Here is a 27,496-nt window from a genome sequence, read left to right on the forward strand (position 1 = left end):
TAGGAAATGAACTTCTAAAAGTTTATGGAAAAAAATCGAGAATGGAAGTAAACACCATTATTTCTAACATAACATTTTGCTGGCGCTCAGAAAGCAATTCTGTGAAAACTTTTCCTAGAACAGAATTAACCCACTCAAAATGAGGAAGTTTAGGAAAAAAAAAAAAAAAGCTGGCTCTTTTTCAAACCAGATCACCCAGTTCCAGTATTTGGGCAAGCGCATCGTAACGGAAACCAGTGCCTTGCCTGTGTGCTGCAACGCCAATTGTGTTAAGCAGCATTTCCAGAAGAAAAACCCCAACAATGAGTGATTGCAAGTCCCCTTGGGAAGCTGAATGAGACTCTTCCTTTGTCAAAGAGATCACATTTAGCTGGGTGGACAAAGTCAGAATTTTCTTGATTTCATTGAAATCATACAGATACAGCTTTGTTTTATGAAATTCAAAGAAAAATCTAGGCACATCATTCTAGCTGCTATGTTACAATACTTGAAGATAGTTTATGGCTCCCTAGAAGACAGCAGCATGTAAATATTGACAGCAGTATCCGTACCAAGAGAAGCTAAGCTGTGCTGAACATATTTCAGAAGCTTAAGAACAGATGGGAGGTGGGTCTTTCCTCCCAAATTCCAGTTACAGCACTGCCTTAGACTTATTACCAAAAGATTACCTTTTATTATAGTGTAAGTAATATCAATCGATGTGATAAAATGATTAAAGTAACTTTAACTGACATCTACTCAGGGAAGTAATATACTGTAAAAATCAATTTTACGTTCATTTTCTTCTAAATCCTCGCTAGCCTCCTGTACATATCACCCAACTTATAAACTCTGCTTTGCATGTTGGCTACATGGACATGGATATTTTTGTGAATTTATCCATACAATAGCACTGTGAGAAAGGTCAGCTTTTTCTGAATCTATGCTGGAAAGTGCTCATTTTCAGTCTAGCAACACATTTGAAATGTATTAACAGCTTGTAGCTCATTGAAGTGGAAGCCTTTGCTTTTTCAGAACCACATATACAAACTGTTCCCAATCAAGTTTTGTTGCCTCCAACATTTTATTAATATGCATTTAGAAAATACAAAGAATGGTATGAGAAAACCATATGGTCTTAGTATATATATTGTAACCAAAAAATTACAACTTGAAAAAATTCCGTATATGACCTGGGAATAGGAAAAGGCATGGATTTTTGATTTAACAGTCTAACAGATGCTTCAATATAAACACATACGGTTGTTTGAAAATAAATATTCAGCGTCAACTTTCTCCCATAGAGAAAGCAACTCCACAGACCTGCCGAAATCACACTTGGAATCTACTCAAACCTTGGCATTGCCTCTTAGCAATTTGTCCCTCACCCATTTCTCTTATAAACGTGTGTAGGACAGAATCAGTGGACAAAAGTGATCTCATGTCTCTCCTATTTCTGAAGAGTTAGAAAGCAGGGGACCTAAATTTGTGGCAGCAAACTCTATGCCCAAAGGATGGATGAGCTAATTTCTCACTTGACTATTTTACCCAGTAGCCATAAAGACATAGGGCTCAGGACTGTGAGAATTTCAAGGGAGGGTCTATAGAAATAAGAGAACTGTAAGCAAAATTCATCAGCTTTCAAACCTTGAAAGAAACCTGGAAATGCAAAATCAATGAATGTTTAAGTAAATGGTAGAAAGAGTAACATCATGTCAAACTCATTAATTGTTAAATTTAATATTTGTAACAAAATTCGCTGCATTTTGCAGTGTGTAGAACAAAATTTCTCACTGCAAGAATTCTCAAAAATGAACAATGGTTGTTAAAAAATTGTCAGTGGTAAAGGAATTATTCTCAGTCATAAAATTTTAAGAGCAATTTTTAAATTCTTATTTTACTTCCAAAACAATAACATTTAATGTGTGACGAGGTGCATTTTAGAATATAGAATAGAGATTTCCAAACAAGAATGCTTAGGGTTTAGGAAAGCCTAAAAGTGGCTTGGGTCACTCATGGGCCAAACCAGGATTTACAAAGAGAAGTTCTTGAAAGACAAGAGCTTTCATTGAGTAGCATCACCACCTCTACCTTAGGACTCACCTTTCTTGGGTAAACCCTTCAGATCTATTTTTTTTTTTTACTCTCTCTTAATAACATCCTTGCGATGTCAGTAAGGAGGAACTAATTTTTTCTTAGGGTAATTACCAAAATAAAACATATTTGGAGGTAAAAAACAGTGGCAAGCAGCATTGTCCACCTACAGAGAACCCTGTGGGTGAAAGGGAGCGGCTGTGGCTTTTAAGAAGACAGAGGCACTCCTTTAATTTTACAGAGGAAAGTAATCTCCTAATATTGTTAAAAGAAAGGGAGAGAAACAGGGTAGCAAAGGGGTACAGACTGAGCAAAAAAGGGGGAAAAAAAAACTAAACGGTTTACAAACCACAGAGCAAAGCAGAGAGCTGCAGAGTGAGTCAGCAGCTGTGTCTGGTGGAAACAGCATCCTGGTGCAAAGCCCTGCAGCCGTCAGCTGATGAACAAGGGCAGTAAATACAGCCGTGAGGGGCCCCACCAGTACCATGTGGCAGTGGTTTGGGGCCACTTTCTCTAGAAGCCAGGGGTGGTGCAGAAGATCCCGTGTGCATGGCCTGGACCCTCTGCAAGGCAGCAGGTGTGTCCAGCAGGTGTGTCCTGAATGGAAGTCTCTGCCCCGAGGCTCAGTGAGGCTCAGGCACCACTTACTGGAGGGGCAGGAAAGCATGGTGGTAGGGAGCACCAACTTTGGAGTTGCCACTGCTTCAGCTGAATCCTGCCTCTGCCCTTTGTGGGACGTTTGGCAACTCTCGCAGCTCTCTCTGCCTCAGTATCGTCATCTGTAAAGTGGGGGTGATGGTAATAGTACTATCTTGCAAGATCATGGTAAGGATGAACTCAGTACTTGAATGGTCTTGTCAGAATTTCTTTGGGCTGAAAATCAGAGTTTAAGGAAAGATAACACTCCTCTCCTATAGCCAGGAAATGCCTAAAGAAAGAGAAATACTGTTCAATTGGCCTATTGAACCATGAAGAAGCTTGAAACGGTGCTATTCTTGGGCTGACTGATATCCTCTGAAAGCTTACTGTGTGCCATGCACCATTCTAAACGCTTTACATGTATTGGTTTATTTAATCCCCACAGGAATCATGTGATTAGTCCATTGGAGAAGTGACGAAATTGGAGCTTAGAGAGGTAGACTGACTTATTTTGCTTAGCGTTGGCAAGGGTTGAAATCCAGACTCTAGGCTGCCATGCTTAATCACTGCGCAAACTTGCTTTCAGGCCTGGTTTATGCACACCTCTGTAGCCTCCTCAGGTCCTTTCCATGTTGTCCCCTCCCTGGGGGACTCCCACTGGAAGACTGCACACTGCCACCTCCTAACAAATGGGAAAACATCCCTAGCCTGGTCTGTCGTTCTGCAAGAGGCAGGATGTATTTTCATGTGCACCATTGAAGAGTATCCAGTTAGCATCAAGGAAGCCTCTGAACATAACCCACCAAAGCTCTTTCATTAGAGGAACCATGTTAGATAGATTCTCAGCTGCTCTGATGGGATGTAAAGGAGCTGTGTTGCTTATAACCGATCCATGATATCAGAATGCAGGGACACACTGTTCTCAGCAGGAAAAGTGATGTCCAAAGTACACATCAAGTGAATATTTGGGATAGAGATGTTGGGATGCTGACATCATCCTGTGCATTCATACTATATGATGCAATCTTTCCACTTAAAATGATGAAAAGGAATTTGTATTGTATGAAGAGCAAAGACAGCAATTTTTAAGTGATGAAAGATTTATTTATCAGAGAATAGAAAAATAGAATCAAACAGGAAGAAGCATTGTCATTAATACAAAGATAAAAGACATTCTGGTTTCAGGGGAAAAGTTCACATGAGCACAACAGACACAAACCTAAAGATAGATGGAGAGAAAGTCAAATTCATCAGAAACTAAATGAAATAAATCTTTATCTTAAAGTCACTTGCCTGCAAATCAAAGATGGGATGTTGCCATTTTCTCCAGGCCCATTAAGAACAGTCTTAATGGTATGAAGCACAGTCCTCCTTCCCCAGGCCTGTGATGAGTTTCCGGTCTCCTTGCTCTGAGCTCAGGTCCCTCTATCTACAAAGGGCATCCCCGGGCTGCTGGGCCCAGGGCATATGCAGTGTTCCCTTGTGAAAGCTGGCACTTTGCTTAGGAGCAAGTGACTCAGGCCCTATTCTACAAACAAGCCAAGCAGTACCTTTGGGCTGTGACAACGTGGTCATGGACATATATGTTTCATTTGGCCAATGTGTGAGTGCAAAGGCCAGTTTGGTCTTCTTTGGTGCAGCTTGACTCTTTCCTCCTCTTCCTTCCTGACCTCAGATTCATCGCCTGCACCTAAGCAGTTATGACCCTGAAAGGAAATCCTTGCTTTCTATTCTCACAGTCCGCATTTTGTAAGACCTCCTCTTCCCTTCATACTTAGTCAGTGGCAGAGTAGGGCAAGAAAACAAAAGTAGACTTTGCAGACAGAGTCAGGTTTCTAACCTGACCTCCCTTATCATTGGCTGTGTGACACAGGAAAAGTTACTTAACTTCTCTGGACTTCTAATTCCTTTTCTGTAGGATGGAGATAGTAACCTCCCAGGGCTGTTATGAGACACAGAAGGGACCACAGACATTCTATGGGGGGCATTCTGCGGGATGGGAGCTGTTTGATTGTTATTTCACATGATTGTATTAACATTCCCAGAGTGTTTCAGCTTCCGTCATTTTCTTTTTTCTAATCTATCCTGAACATTGCTGCCAGATCAGTCTTCCTGAAGCATGACTGATAATAATCATCTCAAAACATAGTCATTATTTTTATTTGAATGGTTATATGGCAGAGTTGCAAATGAAAAGCTGAGCAGAAGGCTGAGAAGAGACCACAGCCTCAGGAGCCTGGGCTACTAGATGAAAGCCAGCATGAGCAAAAAGGGCCTGTGGCTCTGTGTTTGGGACAATGTTGTAACTACCTGTGTCCATCTCTCCACGGACCAAAAGCACCCTGAGCTAAAGGACTATATCTCATTATCCTTGGCATTCATGTATGCAACAAATAATTATTGAGCACCTAGTCTAGGCCCCAGGCTAACTAGTTTTCTTTAGATTTTCAGCTGTGTAAAAAAAATTCATTGAATTCATTAACATTAACCAAAATTTAACTTCAAAAATACAGATGTTCAATAATGATAACATTTCGTGTTTTCAATGTGTAGATTCTCTTGCAGGGATGTACACTGATTAAATCTTAATTATTCCATTTCGAACCTTATTTTGGCCTCAACGTTTAGGAAATACACATTCCATCTTGTGCTTGCAATATGCCTGTAACATCTTGGCATTTGAATTTGCAGTTGGGAATATGCAGCATAGGCTATGAATTTCTGAAGCTGGTGCCAGCACAGCTGGTTCTGATCTGAATACAAACAAATAAAACTATGTGGTTGGCACTGAAACACTAGGACAGGTGACAAACCTTGGCAATGCACTGGTTACAAATGGGCTAATTAAGAATCTGCACTTTCTTCTAGCATCGAAGTTCAGAAACAGACCATCGAAGATGAGCCTGAATTTGAAGTCTTGTGGTTGTATCAAGGCTCTCTTTTAAAAAATACTAGTTATTTTATCTGCTTGTATAATGGGTTGAATTGTGTTCCCTCAATTCCCTATGTTGAAATCTTAACCCGCAGTATCTAAGAATGTGACCTTTTTTGGAGATAAGATCCTAAATGAGGTAATCAAGTTATAGTAAGGTTATGGGGTAGGTATTCCAACCTGACCAATGTCCTTATGCAAAAGAGGCATTTGGACACAGAGACTGACACACACAGAGAGATGATGATGAGAAGAGACACGAGGAGATGATGGCTATCTGTAAGCCAGGGAGAGCCCCCAGGACAGATCCCTCCCTCACAGCCCTGAGAAGGAACGAAACCTGCCACCATGACACTCTGATTTCAGACTTCCAGCCTCCAGAACTGCGAGACAATAAACTGTTGTTGTTTAAGCCACCTAATCCGTGGTACTTTGTTACAGCAGCCCTAGAAAACTATTACAGCTTGGATTAGGTTATAATGTTCTTTGCTGAAGCTGAAATCTTAATTTATAACCCAACCCATCTTTCCATTAAGGCAAATAATTCAGTGAGACCTAAAACTAAAATCTGTTCAGTTGAAGGAATTTCTCACCAATACCAATTTACTTTTCAAAATAACCACTGCCAAAAAGTAATTTTGTAAGAAGAAAATCATCAGCAGTTTCTCACCTGGATTTGCAAGGCGGCTACTTGTTGGTCCAAGAATCTGATAAGGATCTACAGCAAAAAGAAACAAAGTCAAATCCTAGACATAGTTGTAACATAGTATGATGTGACTTCAGACATAATGCCTGACTTAATTGTTTTTTCAGATTTCAGAGCCGAAAATGTCCTCCAACTCCAAATCAACTGCCTCCACCTCCTCTATGAGAGAAGATGTCACACGGCATCTCAGATGTCTTGCTAGGGGACTCCTAATTGGTGGCAGGGCTTGGATTCAACCCCAGGATCCTGACATATAGCTCAAGGCTCACACCAACCAATGATATAAAGAGGGCAAACATGTGCCAAGCCCCATCAATCCAGGGCCGTGCAGGCTGTGTTGTTTAGGCATGGAAAGTAAAATCTAAAAAATTAATGGATCACAAAGAAGCAGCCTGTGTGCACGTAGAATTTTTTTCCCTATTTATTGCATAGTTGGGGACGTGTTTTAGCACCATCTCAAGTCACCTCGCATGAGTAGGCTGATGACTTGGGCCCTATCTTATGTATGGAGCTGTCGAAAAGAGGCAAACAATCATGTTAATTTCCATTAAAAAGTGAAGCATTTTAGAAATGTGCTGCTGAGCCTGAATCTTCTCTTATGGTTATCCAGACGGCCCCTGAAACATACCTAACTGAGGACGCTGGTCTTCAGTTTTGGGCACTGTGGAAGGAGATGGTTGAGCAGCTGAAAATCCAGAAATACAAAAGGCAATTAGCTATAACAGATTTGGTCACTAGTCTTTGATGTTGTTGCATAATCATTCTATCAGTTAATTTAGTTATTAACATAATAGTCTAACTCAGAAGCATCTCACGGTAAGGAAAAATTTTCCTTTCTGATGAAATCAAATGTAAACACTGTAACAAAAAAAGAGGACATTTCCAATTATTTAAAAAATGGATACCTCCCACTTTTTCCAAAAGTAAAAAAAAAAAAGAATTTGGAATGGCTTACCAAACAGATTACAATAAATCATAGTCTAAGATAAACACATAAAGGGAAACCACCAGTCAAATAAAGTAAAGCCAGGGATACTTTTAAGCATGGCCAAGATTCAGGAAAACACCGATTATTTAATGTGTACTCAAACATCCCATGAAACATGCATTTGTGAAGGTTGACATACACTACATCATTCCTTTATTTTTGTTATGAAAGTCCTGATGACCCAAATGGAGAAAGAATCACTGCAGTGAAAGATCAATTGTACTCTTGTCGTCAATGGAACAAACCCATCACATGTTGCAAAATCACAGATTAACCACAGAAATTATTATATACTCCATCAACAGTCATCCACTGCCTGTGACATGAAACTCAGGGTCATGGGAGCCAACACTGTACCTTTCGACTGGGGCGTGGGGTGGCCGTGACCGGTCCAGGCTGATCTCCTGGGGGGCTCATATGGTAAATCTGTAAAGACAAATAAATTGACTAAAAGATCAATCATGTAATTTTTATAAGAGATGCTTTGGTTTTTTATTTGATTTTGTATTTATTAGAATAAACTTTGTGCAAAAAAATCTGGTAATCCAAAGAAATATCCCACTAGATTTGAGTTTTATTTACAAATTAAAATTTCATATATTATAGTGGTCTAAAATTCTCACCCGTTTGTCTGAAAACTTCCATTGGCAGATTCTCCCAGAGCTTTCCAACTCTTCTAATTTCCTACAACCATAAGTCAAGACCCCAATAAAAGTTTCTTACAATCTAGTTCATCCTGCTTCCACTGGGACTGATCTACATCTGTCTCTTTATTATCTTCATGACTCATCCAAAGCAGAGTCTACAACTTGGATGAACCAGCCCATTTTTGTTTGAGGTCTGTTCCTAAATCAATCAAATGACATTCAGCTTCTTTTTCTTCTTGCATCTCCTGGGAAGTGATCGCTGCCTTATCTTTTTATTTGCCAGCTGCCTCTCTTAGCCAACTCCCATTTTCCCTTTATAATCTCATCAATTTATATTAAATCAGTCTTATCTGATCTAGTGATTTTCATAGGCAAATGTCTCCCATTTCTAATGTTCTAAATAAATTTAGAATTTCTCTAAAATGACCTGCATGAAATGAATTACAGGACTGAAATAGTATTGCTCCCACAGCCCATTAATGATGACCTTCTGAGCTTAAGCATATGCCAAACATTTCTTTGTATTTATAAAGTCGTATCACTTGTCCTATAAACCTTCATTTACTTTTCATATGCAAATTTAATAACTATACTTCTGCATCCTCAGTGTGAGTTCTATTAATGATTATCAAAGCTCTATGTCATTTCAAGTTTGTTTCAAAAATATATTACAGAAACCTTATTATAATACTCTTGCTAAGAGTGCATAGCTAAGGCTATTTCTACATGCAATCTTATTACATAACTGTTTCAAAATTATGTCTTCTTGGATTGCTTGGTCTCAGTTCAATGTCATGTGTCATTCTGGGCCAAGTGAAGGCCATGGCCAAATATCTCAGCAGGTACTTTGCTGCCAGACACCAGGAGATGTGTACAAAATTTCACTTGGAGGGTAGGACAATGCAATTGTTTTTAAGCTTCTCTTTAAACAAATATTTTAATTTTGTTTAAAACCAGCAATTTGATGGGTCAATCTTCAAAGAGCTTGACTGTGTTGCAGAAGATGTGTCTCTTCCTATTTTCATATCCCAAAGAGAATAGAAATGATGCGCAACGTGAAAGTCAACACAGAATCTCCTTAATGTATTTGGTCTGTTTGGCTGCAAGCATCTTTGCTACTAGTGTGGTCTATGAAATCCTACCCTTCAGAGCTTTGGAGAATTAGATAATTTTTCTTTTTAAACTGATGTTACTCCTCTCTCTCAGCTGGCATTTTTGCATTTTTGGACGTAAATCTTTTCCCACCCAGATCCTCAGATTTTCACATCTCTTGTGTTGGGGTTACACATAGGAATTATATCTGCAGCCCCTAACAATTTACAACTGAACTTCAACTTAAGTCTCTGGGAACACTCTGCACATGGGTTCTCAGTCAGTTGCATTTTGTCTAAAATAAACTGGACAGCCAGAGTTTCAATTTGCAAATTGTCTCAGAAAGAAAAACCTACTCACAAGGCAATCCTAGCCACATCTAACCTAATTTAGGAGCAGAAAAGCACATTAACTAAGGCCTTCTATTTACCAAATGAAAAAAAGCAAGATAATACAGAAATACAGAAATATGTTCTAGATCTCTGTTTCTCAAAGGGTGGTCTGTGGACCAGCAACATCAACAATACCTGGTAGCTTGCTAGAAATGCAGAATCTTACCCCAGACCTACTGCATCAAAATCAGCATTTTGTTTATTATCTTTTTTTTTTTTTGGAGGTGGAGTCTCGCTCTGTCCCCCAGGCTGGAGTGCAGTGGCGCGATCTCGGCTCACTGCAAGCTCCACCTCCCAGGTTCACACCATTCTCCTGCCTCAGCCTCCTGAGTAGCTGGGACTACAGGTGCCTGCCACCATGCCTGGCTAATTTTTCGTATTTTTAGTAGAGACAGGGTCTCATGCTGTTAGCCAGGATGGTCTCGCTCTCCTGACCCCGTGATCCGCCCGCCTCAGCCTCCTAAAGTGCTGGGATTACAGGCGTGAGCCACCGCGCCTGGCCTCAGAATCAGCATTTTAACAAGATCCTGGGTGACTCTGGTGCACACTGAAGTCTGAGAAAGCCTGCTCTAGACCATTGCTCTTTTCAGGAACTCTGTTCCTGCAGATGATTTCAGAAATGCTATCTAGAGTGTGCAAAGACAAACTAAAAAATGGTTGAAAGAGTTCTAGATGGATTGCTTTTACCCATGGCATAAGTATGCTAATGGAATGAATAGACAGCATCAGTAGGTTAGTCAGATACTACCTTAAACATAAAATTGTTGCTCATGAAATGTGACTGGGAAAAAAAATAAATGCCGAACTACTATTCCCAAAATATTTTGAAACTCTTTATTCACAAAATCCTTCATATGGTGTATAACCATATCCCATCCTCCCTCGAAAATAAGTCGAAACTTAACACCAAACAGTCTACTTTTCAGCCAAGTATTTGAGACAGTTATATGAACAATGATTCACATGTTCATAAACATATTGCCGCGGAAGATAAGTGGGCTTTTGTTTTCTTCCATGACATTCTGGTCCAATGCTTCCTTATCGGCTACCGATCACATGCTGTGGGCACTAAGTATCCCCCTGTGGGATATGACATTGGGAAACATTCAACTCAGGCTCACTGAGATGGGGGACAGCCAGGGGTGACTTCTTTGGCAGCTACACCATCTCAAAACCTTCGTAGTTCTGCTCTTGACTGCTTGAAAAATCACTCCTCTATGTATCTTTGCTATGTGTCCTTTATTGATAATAGAGCATCAGACTTCCAATAAGAATATATTTTACATTTAATTTTCGCTGATCATTTCAACACCCTCTCCATTTCTCTTTGACTTTGATCTTCAAGGCAATGAACTCATATGCTTGGCAGAAGTGCCCATGTAAGGGAAGGCTGCTTTCTGGCACTGGTTCTGTTGTTTTATCTGTAAGAGACTGTGTTTAAAAACTGAGCTTTATAGAAGTCATTGCATAGGCAGCTTGGGTGAACACAGATGTACATTACATCACAACAGTATAAAAAACAGCATGAAGCTACAAATAGGGACTCGGCTAGTGCTGACCACTACACACCAGCAACTGTGTCGATTTCCTGGGAGCTGGGATCAGCTTCTCATTCTGAATGAGACTCCTCCTCCACCACACCCTTTTGAAGACATCACTAAATTAATACAACATTCTGGCTACCCTTTCCTGGAGGGCTAAGTTCAGCCAAGTTTTACATTCTCCCTTCATCAAACTCACTGAGGAGGAACGCTCTAGCTCTTGCCCCACACACCCCACACCGCCACCCCGCTGCCTACCCGCTTTATTTTTTAAAGGGCAAGAATGTGGATCGTGGAAGAGCTCATCCTCATTCTGCAGGATCCACACCATATCTGCAAAGCAACTCTGGAGGTTCCCTGGCTGGGCTGGATGGGAACAGATGAGATTTGCCTGCTCTTGAAATTAGATGCTAATGGGGAACACAAATTAGGAAGAGCAAGAGCTGCTGCTAAGAACCAATCTAGAAGTGTCTGTGAAATGAAAAAAAAAGTTTGAGTCAACCTTAACATAATTAAGTTGCTCTCTATTTTCCTCCAGATCTTCTTAAAATTCTACATCAAAGTTTGAGCATGGAGTTTTGGAAACATTTTGCATTCCCTTCTTGCCTAGGTTTGCATATCCCTGTGGTTATATAAGAACTAAGCGGAAGCAAAGAATGCAATTTTAGCCATTTGCTAAGATACAGGCTTTACATAACACCTAACTGAGAGATGCTATGCAGTAGTTGTATTGTCTCACTATGCCTAGCTGTGCTGAAAAGCACTAGGCTGTGAGCTCCAATGGAGGAATAATTTAAGATTCCAAGAAACCCCTGAAGAGCAGCAGCTTCAAAGTAGAAGCAAAGGCTGCATTTGCAGGCTTAACTCTCTAATCTCTTTTGATAACACCCCAGAGGCATATCATAATATATGGGTTGTCATGGGGATGGAAGAGGAAAGGATGGGGTTGCAGAACATCATCCTTGGGATAGAACTGAGCTTTTGCATGACCTGCTCCTAAGAGGACAGGCAGGGTGGTGCACTGTGTAGTTAATAGGGGCTTGCAAGATTCTGTGGATCTGTTTTTGCCACTTTTTCCCCTGAGACCTCAAAGGGCTATGGCTCCAAAAGAAGTGGATTCAGCAAAAAAGAAGGGTGTTTGTAGAGGAGGTACAGAAAGGGATTCTGGTCGTAGTAACTGCAACAACGTGAGAAACACGTGAAACATCATAAAATAAAGTATAATAAAATATATATATATTTAAAAAATCATAAAACCACAGAATGTAAAATGATATGCCTATGGGTTGATACTTTATGAGAGTAGAGAAGACTGTCTCAATGCTAATTCAACAAAGGGGTTGTGAAAGAAGGTAAATCTTGAATCAGGAAAACGTGGGAAAATACTAGGTACGGGCATGCAAGGAAAAGGGATGAGGTTTGGACAAATGGCAGGTAGTGGTGGTGGCAGGGCATGTTCACATGTGGTCCCCTGTGAGGTCAGTGAACGGCCTCGGCCAATTGTGCAGGGAGACTGAACTGACACAGCAGCAGCGAGACTGACCTGACAGGGAAGCAGTCAGGGGGCTCTGGAATAAATGATCCACTTGGGAAGGTGGGCCATGAACAGAAGAAAAGGTAGATTGGGGGCTGGGCATGGTGGTTCACGCCTGTAATCCCAGCACTTTGGGAGGCAGAGGTGGGCGGATCACGAGGTCAAGAGATCAAGACCATCCTGACCAATATGGTGAAACCCTATCTCTACTAAAAATACAAAAATTAGCTGGGCATGATGGCATGCGCCTGTAGCCCCAGCTACTCGGGAGGCTGAGGCAGAAGAATCACTTGAACTCGGGAGGCAGAGGTTGTGGTGAGCCGAGATTGCACCACTGCACTTCAGCCTGGCAACAGAGTGAGACTCCATCTCAAAAAAAAAAAAAAAAAAAAAAGAAGAGAAAAGAAGATAAAAGAAAAGAAAAGGTAGGTTGGGGCAGTAACCCAGGGATGGGTGACTCACAGTGGGAAGGGAAGGAGGGAAGGGTGGTGAGGAAGTGCTGGGAAGGTGGATGCAGCAGGACAACACACATGTGTAGGAGTCTCTGCAGAAAGGGTGCGGAATGCTGTCTAATTTAACCAGTAAACCCTGAACACCACTGTCTCCTCTATCAGGGACTCTATAATGAAACGGCCACCATGCAGAGAAGAGACAGATTCTGGTCTAAGTAGAGTTGTTACCTAGGAGCCTGGCTTGCTTCATGGTCAGCACAATAACGCTGACCAGAGTTCGGTTCCCTCGGATGTGGGATTAGACAAAGGGTATGGAAATGAAGATCATGGCACAGCAAACCAAGAGTGGAGGAGACAGGGATTTGGGTCTGTATCCCCAAGGACCTTCAAAGAAACAGTCAACAATCACCTTTCTGAAAGTAGTCAGGTACCCACTGACCACAGGGATATCGTCAGATTCCCAGTGACCTCCCTCTGGAGCTCGTTCAGCTCTGAAAGTTAGTGATGCAAAAGCTCTTCCCCCTCAGCCATCACGACGTTCATTCTCCAGTTGCAGGTTCACAGCTTTTATCTCCACAGGAGCAGTCCTTTAAGGTTGATCGCTTAGCAATGGATGACCCGAGGTGTATAACTAGTTCTTATCTCCAAGTTCAAGTCCCTGAATAGGGCCTACAGTAAATAGTCCTCTGGCTTGTTCAGTCTGCTTTAAATTCTTTACAGGTCAGATACCAATATTTGTATTGGTTCTCATAATCACAGTAGCAGTGGTCAAAACAGGTTATTTCAGGTACAAACTGAGTCGCGAAAACATACTTGACTAGTAGTGGAGCTGTGGAAGTGTGCTCTCTCCCAGGTCACGCTCAAATTATGGGCCCATGGAAGACCACCATCAGAGCGGCATGGGAGGTGTCTGAGTTTGCCACCCTTGCCTTCCCTGGGTTGGGCAGAGAGGGAGTCCCAACCAACATCCTCACAGTCACCCTCTTCTCCATCCACCTGGATGGGCCATACCTTCCAAATCCACCATATCCTAAAATGTGAAAACAAAGCAGCTCCAGGACCCACTGTCTTAACCAGGTAGCATCAGTCAGCTGGCTTGTCTGACAGAGAGATTGTGCCAATGAATTTGGCCAGTGTTGTGATCTTTTAACACAGTTTATAATACTAGCTCACAACCCCTGGCTTTGCAACTCAGTCAGAGGCACCTATGAGATGTCTTAACATAAACAAACAAATACAAAATTAAAAAGTAAAAAAATTTTTAAAACCCTAGCCAAATGTTTTGGAAATAGTTTTTATTTTTTTAGTTTATATGGAAATATTTTTTAAATGCTCACAGAATTACAAAATCTCTAAAGCTTGAGTCAAACATGAATTTCTATTTTCCACTCGCAATACACGTGGTGGATGTCTTTAGGACCAATCTTGCAGACTCTAGGCACTGGGTCTTGCCCATGTTTCAATGGCCTGTGAAATCTTTTACATGACAGAGATGACTTACTACCTCTTAGTACCCCTTAGCTGCTAAGCCTTTCCATCATGCTTCCCAGGAGCAAGACAGTAAACTTTTTCTCTGACGTTAGAGAAGAGAAAATTGCCAGCCTGAAGTCACTAGGCAGTAACCAGGGCAGTGTCAGTATTTGAACAGCCTGAGAAGCTTCCTCATTCATTCTCTTTAGCTCCCTGGGCCCCCAGTCTTTCTCATTAGAAAGAAAGAGTAGTTGCCAAGCCTAGATCTTGAACCAGTTCGAACTGAGACTTGTGTATTCCGGATATGTGATAGAGTTTAACATGAATTCTGGAAGCATGTATGAATATGGAGAAACCATCCCACCACCCTGAACACAATGTCATCAGCTGTGAGGCTGGTACAATGATACCTAGCTTATCGGGCTGATGTAAGTCCCAGGGAGAGGACAAATGCTAAAGGCAAGCTATACCCTTCTGGGAAATGCCCTCTCTCCCTGCTCATTATTCGTCTGGCAAACATCTAATTCCCCTTTGCCATGTGGCCATTCCTCTGGAAAGCATCTTTATGCCTTTCATGGGGGATTGAGTTCCTCCCCACCCCTGCTCCTACGCCCTGTATTGCTAGAAGTGGTTCCTCTACCATAAAATCTATCACATTAGGGAAAACATTTATGTGTACATATGTGTCTCTCTGGCTCTAGGTCACTCTACTGAAACATCTAGAACTGGAGGCAAAACATTTCGGTTTGTTCACCATCATACCATCCGTGGCTGGCACAGAGGAGGCACTCAGCAAATGAACAAACCAAGCTGAATGAAGAAGTAAACTTTCTGAAGACAGGAAGCTTACTGAAGCCTGGTTCATCTATATATTCCCAGAGTCTAACACCACGCTTGGCACTAATGGGCACTTGATAGATGTTTATTTTTGCATGAATGGCATGTAAATTTATTACCTAATTAAATCATTTGGAGGACAGGCAGTAAGATTCAGATGTAAATACTACTGGTTGCATGCTTCTGCTCTGCAAGACTGGCTTCTTGTGACATACTGATAATCGGTCACTGTGAATCTGGGGAGTGTCCTTGTTTTGTGCTCTTCCCCCGAGGAGGGACAGATCCTTCTGTTAGTTCAAAAGTCGGCCTATTCCTAACTGCCAGGCATCCAGGATGCCTTCTTTGCCCATCTGTCTTTCTGAAAAGCTAGTTAAAGGGCTAATCTGCTCTTAATTCCTTTAGTGTGGTCTTTGAATGAAATGGTTTGAGTGGATTTAGTCTCCAAATCAACAGAGGCAGAATAAGACTGTCTGGGACTGGCTTCAGCTCCGGGATCAGCTCTCTTTGTATCACGTGACTTAGGGCACGGATCTCAGCAGGACATCTGGGATGTCTCTCAATGAAGAGATCACACAGGGGTGTTTTCGTACCTGGCCTAGTTGTAATTCTTTGCGTAGCTTCAGGATATACTGAAGTATTTGGGAAAATAAAAGCTGCACCCCCTGCAGACAAAAGGAAAGACAAACATGTGAAGGTCTTTTGTTGTGGTTGTCGATCTCAACATCAGCGCCAAATCTACTTTTCCCTATGACAACAAAGGGAAGAGACCTCCTCAAACCTGCCTTAACAGAGCTCCGGAGAAACAGACAGGTGCACCTGTCAGATTCTCAAGATGGAAGTGAAACTTGGAGCCTTGGTGTACTCCTGTGCCCCGTTTGCTATAAAGCGTTTTGTGTTTTGATTTTATAACTTCTTGATGAAGCCCTATCTGTGTCCCCCTCAATCCCACTTCCCACTGGGCAATCTCGTTTTATTAAAAAATTATATGGTACATGTTTTATTTTTCAACTTGTATAAAAACCCATAATATATTTTACAGAGCTTTTGGAAAGTAGTATCAAGCAATTATAAGTATTTAGCCTAAGAGTATATGGATTTTATTAATAATTAATCCACATCTCTATTCAAATGCATTTTCCCTCTCTCTCTTTTGACCAAAACTCATGCTGTTAGCTGAGAAAATTCCCTTTTCATAGTTCAGTCCATTTGGAATTTGTTGTCTTGTTCATTGGTTTCTTCCGTGTTTAACAATAGCAAAATTTAATATATTTGGAGCTTTTTTGAAACTTTCACTCAATGGTTAAAGAACTCATAAATAAATGTGAAATTATCAGAAAATGTGCATAGCTCAAAGGTGTTTCCTAAGAAGGGGAAGTAACTTCCTCTAAGTTATCTGTTATTTCTGGCCACAAGGTCACTAATAGGCTGATGTGTGCAACCAAAATTATTGAAAAAGTGTACTACCAACTCGAAGCAGGTTTTTTAAAACTTCAGATTAAAAAGACAATGTGTTGAATATAGAAGACCATGATAAATGAGCAATTTCATTGTAATACTCAAACCGGGACTCACTCACATTTTATATTTTAAAATAAAATGGTAAATATTGGGAAAATTGCGTATTTCTATGTGAGGGCTGATCGTGAGTTAACTGGCTGACTTGCAAGGCTTTCTGGCACTTCCCGTCTCCCTCCCTAGCCCGAGTGATTGTGGAGGGTCCCTGCAGCTAACAGAGTGGGGTGAGCAGCCGGTGGCCATGCTTCCGGAACTCTCTCCATCAGGAAGGAGCAGATGGATGTGAACCAGGAACACATTCATCCACAGAAAACCCAGCCTCTGCTGTGAGCGGGGGGCGAGGGAGGAAGGTTAGCCAGGATGAGGCACGGTGTTAAACCCTACTTAGGCTCAGGCAAAATAAATACATAACTAAGTCAAATGTAGAGGCAACGGTTAGAGATAGAAAACAGGCATTTGGTTAGTGACTAATTTCATATTCTCCAAAATTATAGCAGAGGTTCCCTCTGAACAAAAGCTCTCAAAATGTTACAGAAATTCCCTCCTGCCTTTTGCAAACATACAAAGTCTGTAGGAAAACAAATCAAATAGCCTAAAAGTTTATTGGAAAGGAAAAAGAAAATTCCAACTTATCCTAGCAAATATTTCTTTAAGAATAAAAATGGAAAAAATTAAAGGAGGTTGCTAAGGGCCCTTTTATATCGAACATGCTTTTAGTGTCTACAGAGTCAGCACAGCGAATATATTGGGACCAACAGAAGAAGACTGTAATCCGGCAAATGTGAGCTAAGTTATGGCTAAAGGCAAATTCTGCACGTCTCCTGGTTAAAAAGGAACCCTTTGATAATCAAAGTGGGGTGCTTGGGAAGCGCTCAGAAAACCAAAGGGCTTCACCTTCCTTTAGGCTGTGGTACATTCCTAAGTATCCGAAAGTATTCTGAATCATCTACCTGCGTTCTGTCTTCCTGGCACGCGCTGACTGGTTTCCCATGAAAGCATGCAACCTGTACGTAAGACCCTACGCTCTTGCTGGGAGGCAGGGGCGGGGCCAGCATTACCTGTGTTTCTAGCATGCATTAACCGTGGAGAGTTTTGTAAGGCTTTATCAACATCATCTGAAGTCAAATGTGGAAGAGGAGCTACAAAACAAAACAAAAAGCGACATCAAAATGAAAAAAAAAAGAGAGAGAGAGAAAGAGAATTACCTTTCTTACAAAAAAAAAAAAAAAAAAAGAAAGAAAAAGAAAGAAAGAAAACCGTTCCCCCACTCCCACACTAACATCATGGGAAGCTTATAACTATTTCCAGCAACCTGCTACTTGTTAGCATGTTAAAACCTACATGGGGGCCCGTCTTTAATTCAGGGAAGAAGTGGTTGGGATGCCAGGCAAAGCAATGGAGGAGAATTTATCCACCTCACTGTCTGTCACACTACTTCCTTCTCACCATGCTGGACGTTGTAGAAATTAAAGCATGCAGCAAACATTCTGGATTCATGCCAACATGCCATCCCTTTCTGTCAGGTTAAGCCGAATCACATGATACAAAGTGAAAACTTCCCTTGTTCTGTGCTCAGGTTAGAATATAAAGTGGGGCTTCATGTAGCTTTAGGGAGAATAATCCCCCTAATTCCTACGAAAGAGAAGCCTTAATGATTCTATTTCGATTCGGGGTATCATGGAGACTTAACTAATGTGTGACCAGTTAACGCTTCCTTTCCCCTTTGACATTCCATCTTCTTGGTCGCAGGACCCTGGAGGAGGCAGCTGAGTGTTGAAGTGAATTTTGGCTTCTCCTGAGAGCGCTGACTACTTCTCATCAGGTGATGTGGCCAGGGTGTTGCTCCCCTAAGTCATCACATACCAAGCATGTGGCTCCCTCGGATCCCCAGTGGGAACTGGGCGAGGGCAGGAGGATGCTGTCGACACACCTGGTTGAACCCTCTGAAGCTCAGGTCATAAGAACCATAGCCACAGCCATCTATCCTTGGAGGAAGGGGGAGCTTACTCTCTCTGAGGTAGTGGAGATGTGAGAGAAGGATGTCGGCGTTGTAGCTGGGGGTGAGCCTCTGGAAGTCGTCCTTGGTCATCTTGCACAGTTCCTTCCCATCGATGTTCTGGAATAACAAGATGTTGACGTCTGGAAGGCCATATTCTTTCACCGCCCACTCCAGCCACTGCCGCACATGGTCTGTACTCCATAGCGTAGGATCTGAAAGGGGTGGGAACACATTCAGTCAATTCCTGAAGCCAGGGATCTTCATCTTGGGGTAGATCCCCATCCACGTGGGATTTCTGACCAGCTGCCTTCCACAAGCACAGCCTCCAGCCAGCCTCCCTGGCTACCCAGGAGAACATTTTGGGGGAAAGACAAAAGCTGCCTCACATCCATAGATCATTGTCTTTAAAGTGAATAGTTCTGGAATCTTGGGATTATTCACATCACATGCCCTTGTTTTTGCTCAATCTAAAGTTTCCTGTAGGCATAAGATTTTAAAAATTCTTTTTTCTCATTTATGTTCAATTTTATTTATTTATTTTAAAATGAGTAAGAATAAGAGGAAACTTCTTTTCCTTAGAAAACTACTGGTATATTTATATATATTTATATGGAAATAAGAGTAAGCCACACATATCAGGAAGGTGCTAATTACAGATCACAACAACAACAAAAATAATAATAACAGTATTTATGCAAAATACTGAAAAATACTGACCACAGAATCGGAAATGAAATATAGATACACCAAGACTCTAGCCCCTCCTATGAGCCAGCGTTCCTCATAGAGAGCTGTCAGTTCCAGACTTTTCCTGCAGGGTGTTTGGTTTTGCAATTAACCAGCACCTGCAGGAGTGGGGTTGGTGAGTGGTTTTTGCATTCCACAGCTGGCCATGGCGAGCACAAACACCCCACAGGATGCAGGCCACGTCGTCACACTCCAGTGCTACCTATGGGACAGGGAGAGCAGGGCCCGGGGGAGAAGGAGCAGGTGATCTCCAACAGAAACGCCAGCCGGGATGTCCTGTGGTAAACACCCTCAGTGGTAGGGTCTTCAGAGTGTGGTAAATGGGGCGGCTGCTCCCTTGGGCCCCGAGCCCTGAGAGACACATGGGCAGGGAGTTGGAGCCCTGAGTTCTAATCTCACCATTTCTCCACTTTCTGGACCTTGCTGTGGGCAGCTATTTCTCCTTTCTGTGTCTGTCCCACCTGTAAACTAAGAGCACTGATCTCAGTTCCCGGGACAAGCCCTTAGGGGTCAGGCATGCCAGGATGTTCCAGTCCTCTTGAATGAAAGTCAGGTGTGGGAGTCACATTTTAGCTAATACTTTCAGATCCTTGTTTGTTTGGTCCCACTAATATTTTAGGCTACTCAAGAATGGAGCATGTAGTATGCTGCTGCAATACATTTTTAGGTTTGCAGAGGTAAACCGTAATAATAGTGAGAAACAGCCAGCCAGTCATACACCCAGAGTTCTCTTCCTCTCCCTCCTTCCCTCTTCCTTCCTTCGCTTCTCCCTCCCTTTCTTCCCTTCAGCTACATAGAAGAAAGAAATTATTGCAGGTCCAGTAGAATCTACCTTTCCCATTCCATTCTCCTACTGCAAACACCTATCCTGAAGTTAGTAGCTAGTGGTTAGAAGTAACCACTATCCTGAAGTTAGTACGTGTATCACTCCTATACATATTTTAATATTTTTACCATTTAAACTACATATATTGTTTTGTGTTTTTAAAGTTAACATAAACGATATATGATTTGCTATTGGCACTCAATGTTATAATTTCAAGATGTAGCCAAATGAATTCACAAAGATATACTCAATCATTAAGCAGCTCTTAGGCCTCCCCCATGTGAATAATCTCAATTTATTTAGTGAATGTCCCCTGTCCATCTCCATGCATACGCGTGAATGAGTCCGCATTGGTCCAGGGCCTGGGGTCCTTTCTGGAATCATCTGGGGAGACTGAAAAACTAGTGATGCCTGGTCTCCCCTGGGAGAGTCTGCTTCAATTAGGCTGGAGGGCAGTTGGGCATCACAGTTGATAACAGCTCCCCCAGGTGACTCTAATGAGCAGCCAAGGTTCAGATCATCTTCCCTGGGCCTCACTATTCCAAGCGTGGTCCTCCAACCGCGGAAGCATCAGCATCACCTGGGAGCTAATTAGAAATGCTGAGTCTCAGGCCCCACCCAGACCTGCTGAACCAGAATCTACATTTTCACATGAAACCTGGGGACACGCTGGCCTTGGCTGAGTACCTAGATACGGGATTTCTGAGTTACAGGGCACATCCATCTTCAACTTGACCAGCTAGCATTGGATGTCTACCAATATTTAAACACCCACATTCTCACTTAAAAATCAGTGCACAGGCCAGGCGCGGTGGCTCACGCCTGTAATCCCAGCACTTTGGGAGGCCGAGGCGGGTGGATCACGAGGTCAGGAGATCGAGACCATCCTGGCTAACACAGTGAAACCTTGTCTCTACTAAAAATACAAAAAAAAATTAGTCGGGCATGGTGGCGGGTGCCTGTAGTCTCAGCTACTTGGGAGGCTGAGGCAGGAAAATGGCATGAACCCGGGAGGTGGAGCTTGCAGTGAGCCAAGATCAGGCCACTGCACTCCAGCCTGAGCGACAGAGCGAGACTCCATCTCAAAAAAAAAAAAAAAAAAAAATCATCAGTGCGCAGAACCTGAAAACTAAAGGGAACTCTGGTTTTGCTACAGAGAGAATATCAACAAAAACTCCAACGGCAGTGATGACAGAAAAGTGTACATATTTATTTGTCATCCAAACACTTGGAAACATGTTGTTAGTCTGTGAAAACTGAATGTAGATATGGAAGGTTAATGTTATCCAGTTCACTGAAGTTCAGATGACTCTTCGTCATTGGCTGAGAATTTGGCTTTCAGAGATAAAATGTTTCTTTTTTCATGACATGTCAGAATTCCTCTTTCTACAAAAATGGATCATACTGAGGTCTTAGGGCAAGTTCTCTTTACCTTTGGTTCTGTGCAGAGGATAGTTTGTTCAGCCCTCACAGAGAGAAGACCCCCCATCCTACCCAAGTCATTCCCTGTAAGTTCCATCCTTTGATGTTAGCGAAACCCACCTTTTTGTTTTGTTTTGCTTTGCTTTTAACAAAATGGGAGGACTATTTTTTTTTTAATGTAACAACTGTACTTCCTAGAAATAAGTTCATTCTGGGAACAGACTTTCTTCTCTAAATGGTGGAACCGGATATTCTCAAAATGACACATAAACATATTGTCTGAAAGCCACTAGGTTCGTGTTAAAATGGTGAAAGGAGAAGTTTAATCTCTCTATTATCCCTTGGTGTGCCCCTTAATTGGTTTCGCTCATCAAGACAAGGGTTATCCTGGCCCATTCAGTTTTCCTTTAAGGGAATCAGGTGCAAGACCCCAGAGACAAAGTCCTCAACCTGTATTGTACTTATCTCTACAAGTCTCACTTTGAGTTGGTAAAAGGCTGTTCTGGAGTTCCGGAGTTCTGCCAATATGAGTATAAATTACTACAGCCTTTCTGATGAACAACACAATAATACAACAATACAACACAACAATACAATCAAACGTCTTTAAATATGTGCAGATTCCCTGGCTTAAAAATTCCATTTCTAGAAATTTATCCTAAGGAAATAATAGAGGATGTGCGCAATGATTTATTGTCAAGGATGTTCTTTGTAGTGTTGTTTATAATAGCAAAACATTGGAAACACCCTAAATGTCCAGCAAAAGAGAAGCAGTTTTGTAATGCATTTAGGAATGTTCCTGTGATATTTAGAGACTAAAAATTACACTGTTGAAATATATTTATTGATATGATAAAATGTTCAAAGTAGATTGCATTTTAAAGTTTCAAAATATTATTATGATATCATTGTATTTTGCAAAGATATATAAATATCTGCACAGAAAGAAATTCAGAGGGAGATACAGCAAAACGTGAACTGTTGTCACTGAGGGAAAGGAGATGGGGAATTTTAGATTTGTCATTTTCACTAAACTATATTTTCTCATTTTTCTATAATAAATATGGAATACTTGGGTTACAAATTATTTATACAAAATGTATTCTCTATTTTTCAAAGCCAAAACATGGTCTTACAAAAGGTATATATATATTTAATGTATATTATATGTATACTATATATCACCTATATATAATATATGTGAAAGTATTTTTATAAAATACTTTAAATACTTTATAAAAAGTATTTTTTAAAAGTATAAAAAATAAAAGTAAAAAAACAAAAAGAAAAGTTAAAAAAATGAAACTATGCAAAGCATTTTATAAAAAGTATAAAAAATAAAACTACTAAAATACTTTATAAAAATATTTTTATAAAATAATAAAATATATAATATATATAGAATATATACTTACATATATGCTATATATACTACCTATATATAGTATATATGTGAAAGTATTTTTATAAAATTGCTGTCAAGAGTATAAAAAGTTAAGTTTCAGTTTCTTTTATATTTTGTTAATATAGACTGCTTCATCTGAAAAGAGTAAAATTACATGAAGTCAGAACACTCCCACATCCTTTTAGCATTTGATCTCCACACCTCTGCCCTATAAATTTCTAAGCAAACAATGGTGAAAACAAAACATGGCCACTCGGTAGAAGAAATGAGGGCATTCCTTTTCTCCTGAGCACTCGCACCACTCTCCCAGACCCACTCCGGAGGTGTTGCAATAGAGGACAGTTTGCAGGGGAAAAACCCAGATTCCCCAGCATGAAGCACACAGTCCTTTGTTCCATGGGTGTCATTCCCAACCATTCCCCCTCCACCCTACATTTCCTGAGCCAATGCCTCCATGCCTGTGCCACATGCCACCCACAGCGTGAAGGACTAGCACCTTCTTGTGCCCTCACCTACACTCACGACCTCCTTTGGGCATCTGTCCTAGATGTTCTCACAGAGGAAACACTTAACAAATCTCTGGGCAGTGAAGTGATAACAAGACTGAAGACCTAGTCTCTGCTCACACTGAACTCCACCTCCACTACTTTGGCCAGGCAATGATGCTGCAGCTGTAGATGATGGTTTTTAGAGTTCAGGTCAGTGCACTGGGTCCAGGCTGTCAGGTTTTGGTCCTAACCTTTTAACTCCATGAAGAGCCCCAGTAGTCTCTCTAGTCTCCTCCACACTCCATGGTATCTCAGCAAAGCTTTATGGCTTCTGTCACACCAGGAATCAAAGAAAGGGGCTCATGAGTTCCTATGAGATTCAGCAGGCCTGTCTTCCTCCTTTCTTGACCCCAACCACACATGTGTAGGAGGAAGGGGAGGGGACTACAGCATAAGCCCCAGCCGAGGCATCACCTTTGCCTATGTTTAGGTGCGACCTTCTGCCCTAGGTAGGAACACCTCTTGTCTCCAGGTAGCAGTGTGTTTGGAACCTGTCATTTAATTTTATAACTGGACCTCATTTTTCTCTTCTGTAAAACAATGTGGAGAATTTCAGGACCTGAGAAATGACTCGAATAGGATAAGAACTAAGATAGATTTAATTCAAGTAAAAGTCATTAAGCATTATGCATATGGCTATATGCACCAGTACTATGGAGATTCCAAAGTGTCCAAGACCAAGAGAAACACTAAGGACCCACTGAGAGAGGCAGCTTATGACCACAACCACAAAGCAGAACTAAGTCTCTGTGATCAGGCTGGGCGTGGTGGCTCATACCTGTAATCCCAGCACTTTGGGAGGCCAAGGCGGGTGGATCACCTGAGGTGAAGGGTTTGAGACCAGCCTGACCAACATGGAGAAACCTCATCTCTACTAAAAATACAAAATTAGCCGGGTGTGGTGGCGCATGCCTGTAATGCCAGCTACTCAGGAGGCTGAGGCAGGAGAATTGCTTGAATCCAGGAGGCAGAGGTTGCGATAAGCCGAGATTGCGCCATTGCACTCCAGAAGCCTGGGCAACAAGAGCGAAACTCCGTCTCATAAAAAAAAAAAAAAAAAAAAAAAGACTCCGTGATCCAAGGAGGAAGTGGAAGTGCAGAGAGGTAGCACCAACCAGGAAAAATGGGAAAGGCTTACCAGGAGAGTGAACTTGGATTAACAGCGAGGATTTTGACAGAAGTAGAGAGAAGCTCTTTGGTTTAGGGGAACCACTTAGCCCAGCCTCATCCGACATGGGCATGAAATATCTGACATGTTTAAGAAAAAGGGAGAAATTTGGTGTGGCTGCAGTGGAGGATTTCAGAGAGAGCACAGCAACATACGAGGATGGGGATGAAAGCTGGGCTCAGATCAACAAGGTCCTTGAGTCTTGCTAACAAGGTTGGATTTTCATTTTTAGAGATTTCAGAGTAATTGAAAATTTCTAAGAAATTTTTAAAAATCTTAAATAACACCAATCACAGAAAACTTGGTGATGAAAATAAAAGGCTTTATTGGGAATCCAAATACCCACATTGGGATTCTTATTCAACCATTTACTGGACGTAAACGTCAACCTCTCTGGAATTTGTTTTATATTTTTCTGTGGGTAATTAAATGAAATGTTAGGGGAATAGAAAAGTAAATGAGATAATGGATGTGAAAGCACTTTGCCAACAATAACATACTGCAAAAAAAGAATGCATCCACACACTCGATTTTGCATTGCAAACTCTGCTAAAATGGAATAAGAACAAAATCTGTTATCACAGGGGCAGCCTCCTCCTTAAGACACAAAAGTCCAATTTATAATTTTATTTTAAGAAACTTTTGGAGATGCTTCTGTCAGATGAATCATAAGCCATTGAAGATAAGTTGTTCATTTTCAGCCTTCCATTCCAATTGTTTTGAAAACATCTGTGTCATCATTCTACATGTCATGGACACCAAAATGGTAAACTGTCATGGCACAGGCTAAACAGAAGCCATCACTCTCTGAAGCCTCTTATTTGTATCTTAAGTTACATGGTTATTATGAAATCTACTTTGGTAAATTGGAATTTAAAAAACAAATAAAAGTAAACCATTACACACAGAGTTCTGGAGTTGTACTGTTAATGTACTCTGTATGTGGAGTGGGAGTGGGGGTATAAGCAGTGGGAGGGAGGGAGGAAGGCTGACATTTAAAAAAAATATTTCCATGAAACAGGATTCTGACCTAGTAGAGTTCCCCTGTTGCCAGGAAAATATTGAGTAGATATTTAAATCAGGCAAAGGGGCACTGCATCGCCAAAGACAAACTGTGCCTTTGTGAAACAAAATGCCTCACACAGGCAAACATCTTCTTTCAGAGGCCCCTCTAGAGAAATGAATAAAGTAAGATTAAATAAAAGCCAAACTGGTGATAATGAAAGTCCTGAATGTTATTTTTCTTAAATAATATCAACGTAAAATATTGGCTTCCCAAAAGAAAAAAATTACTCTTGGTTATGAAAAAAACATCAAAAAATAAAAACTAAAATGTACCTCTAAGCCATATCACAAGCCTAGTGAGGTGTTTGTTTATAAATCCAGGCCCTGGGCAAGTCAGCCAATCTGCTGTCCAAGACACTCATAAGCCTGCAAAAATAAGATTTAACATCTTGCATCCTCAGGAGGACAGAAGTTACATTTATAAAGCAGGCCCAATAGAGAGAACTGGCTTAAATTTGAGCAATGATTCACTCCATCACAAATGGAAATTTGATCTCAAATAAAGAGCCTACCTCAAGACTGTTTCTGAGCCTTTTAAATTTCTAACTTATATGTAGAGTTCATTTATTGTTTTGGTATTGATTTCTAATTTTATTGCACGTTGGCCAGTGAATAGAGTCTGTATGAAATTAACATTTTATTTTATTTTATTTTTTTGAGATAGTGTCTCGCTCTGTCACCTAGGCTGGAGAGCAGTGGCATGATCTGGGCTCACTGCAACCTCTGCCTCCCAGGTTCAACTGCCTCAGCCTCCCGAATAGGTGGGATTACAGGCACCCACCACCATCGTGGCTAATTTTTGTATTTTTAATAGAGATGGGGTTTCACCATGTTGTCCAGGCTGATCTGGAACTCCTGACCTTAGGTGATCCACCCACCTCGGCCTCCCAAAGTGCTGGGATTGCAGGCGTGAGCCACCATGCCCAGCTGAAATTAGCTTTTTAAAAAGTTCCGGTTTGTTACTCTTTTGGCGGCCTAGTGCATGGTCAGTTTTTATAAATGTTCCTTGATTGCTTAAGAAATGCATATTCTCTAATTTGGGAGTACAGAGTTCTAGAAAAAAAACTCTTGGTAAGGTGTATTTAATTTTAATGTCACTGACCTATCAATTACTGAGAAATGCAAATTAAAATATCTCACTAAATTGGACTTGACTATTTCTTTTTGCAGTTCATTACATATTTCAAGGCTATGTTATTAGGTACATGTAAGTTTATCATTATTATATATTTGTCATGAATTTAGCCTTTTTTCACTATGTAATGACCCTCAATTATCTCCAGTTATGCTTTCTGCCTGAAAGTATATTTAGTCTGCTTTCTATTTCTATTTTTGTCAGCTTTTTAAAAATTCAATTTTCACTAGCGTATCTTATTCTGTCAACTCTCAATCTTTGTTTGTGCAAGATTTTTTTGTAAACAACCCATAACTGATTGTGGAGTATTTTTTAGTCTAGTCTATCACTCTCTGTCTTTAATGGCAAATTTGGTCTATCTAC

At 41.1% G+C, this 27,496-nt stretch overlaps 1 protein-coding gene across 9 annotated transcripts in view; it reads right to left on the reverse strand.

Moving 5' to 3' along the window:
- The window catches only part of ERG (ETS transcription factor ERG), a 294,523-nt gene that overhangs the window by 17,420 nt on the left and 249,607 nt on the right, over positions 1 to 27,496 (reverse strand). For 5 of the 9 annotated variants that reach the window (NM_001243432.2, NM_001136154.1, NM_001243428.1 and 2 more), the window contains 6 exons: positions 18,826 to 19,029; positions 17,877 to 17,957; positions 15,894 to 15,965; positions 7,696 to 7,764; positions 6,979 to 7,035; positions 6,315 to 6,362 (listed from right to left, as the gene is read on the reverse strand). In NM_001243432.2, coding sequence (NP_001230361.1) covers positions 6,315 to 6,362; positions 6,979 to 7,035; positions 7,696 to 7,764; positions 15,894 to 15,965; positions 17,877 to 17,957; positions 18,826 to 19,029 — 531 coding nt within the window. Of the gene's footprint in view, positions 1 to 6,314; positions 6,363 to 6,978; positions 7,036 to 7,695; positions 7,765 to 15,391; positions 15,966 to 17,876; positions 17,958 to 18,825; positions 19,030 to 27,496 lie in introns of those variants that run through there. The other 4 variants (NM_004449.4, NM_001243429.1, NM_001331025.2 and 1 more) reach the window with 2 other exon arrangements.

Source organism: Homo sapiens, chromosome 21, assembly GCF_000001405.40.
Source record: "Homo sapiens chromosome 21, GRCh38.p14 Primary Assembly".
In the NCBI taxonomy this organism is placed as follows: domain Eukaryota; kingdom Metazoa; phylum Chordata; class Mammalia; order Primates; family Hominidae; genus Homo; species Homo sapiens.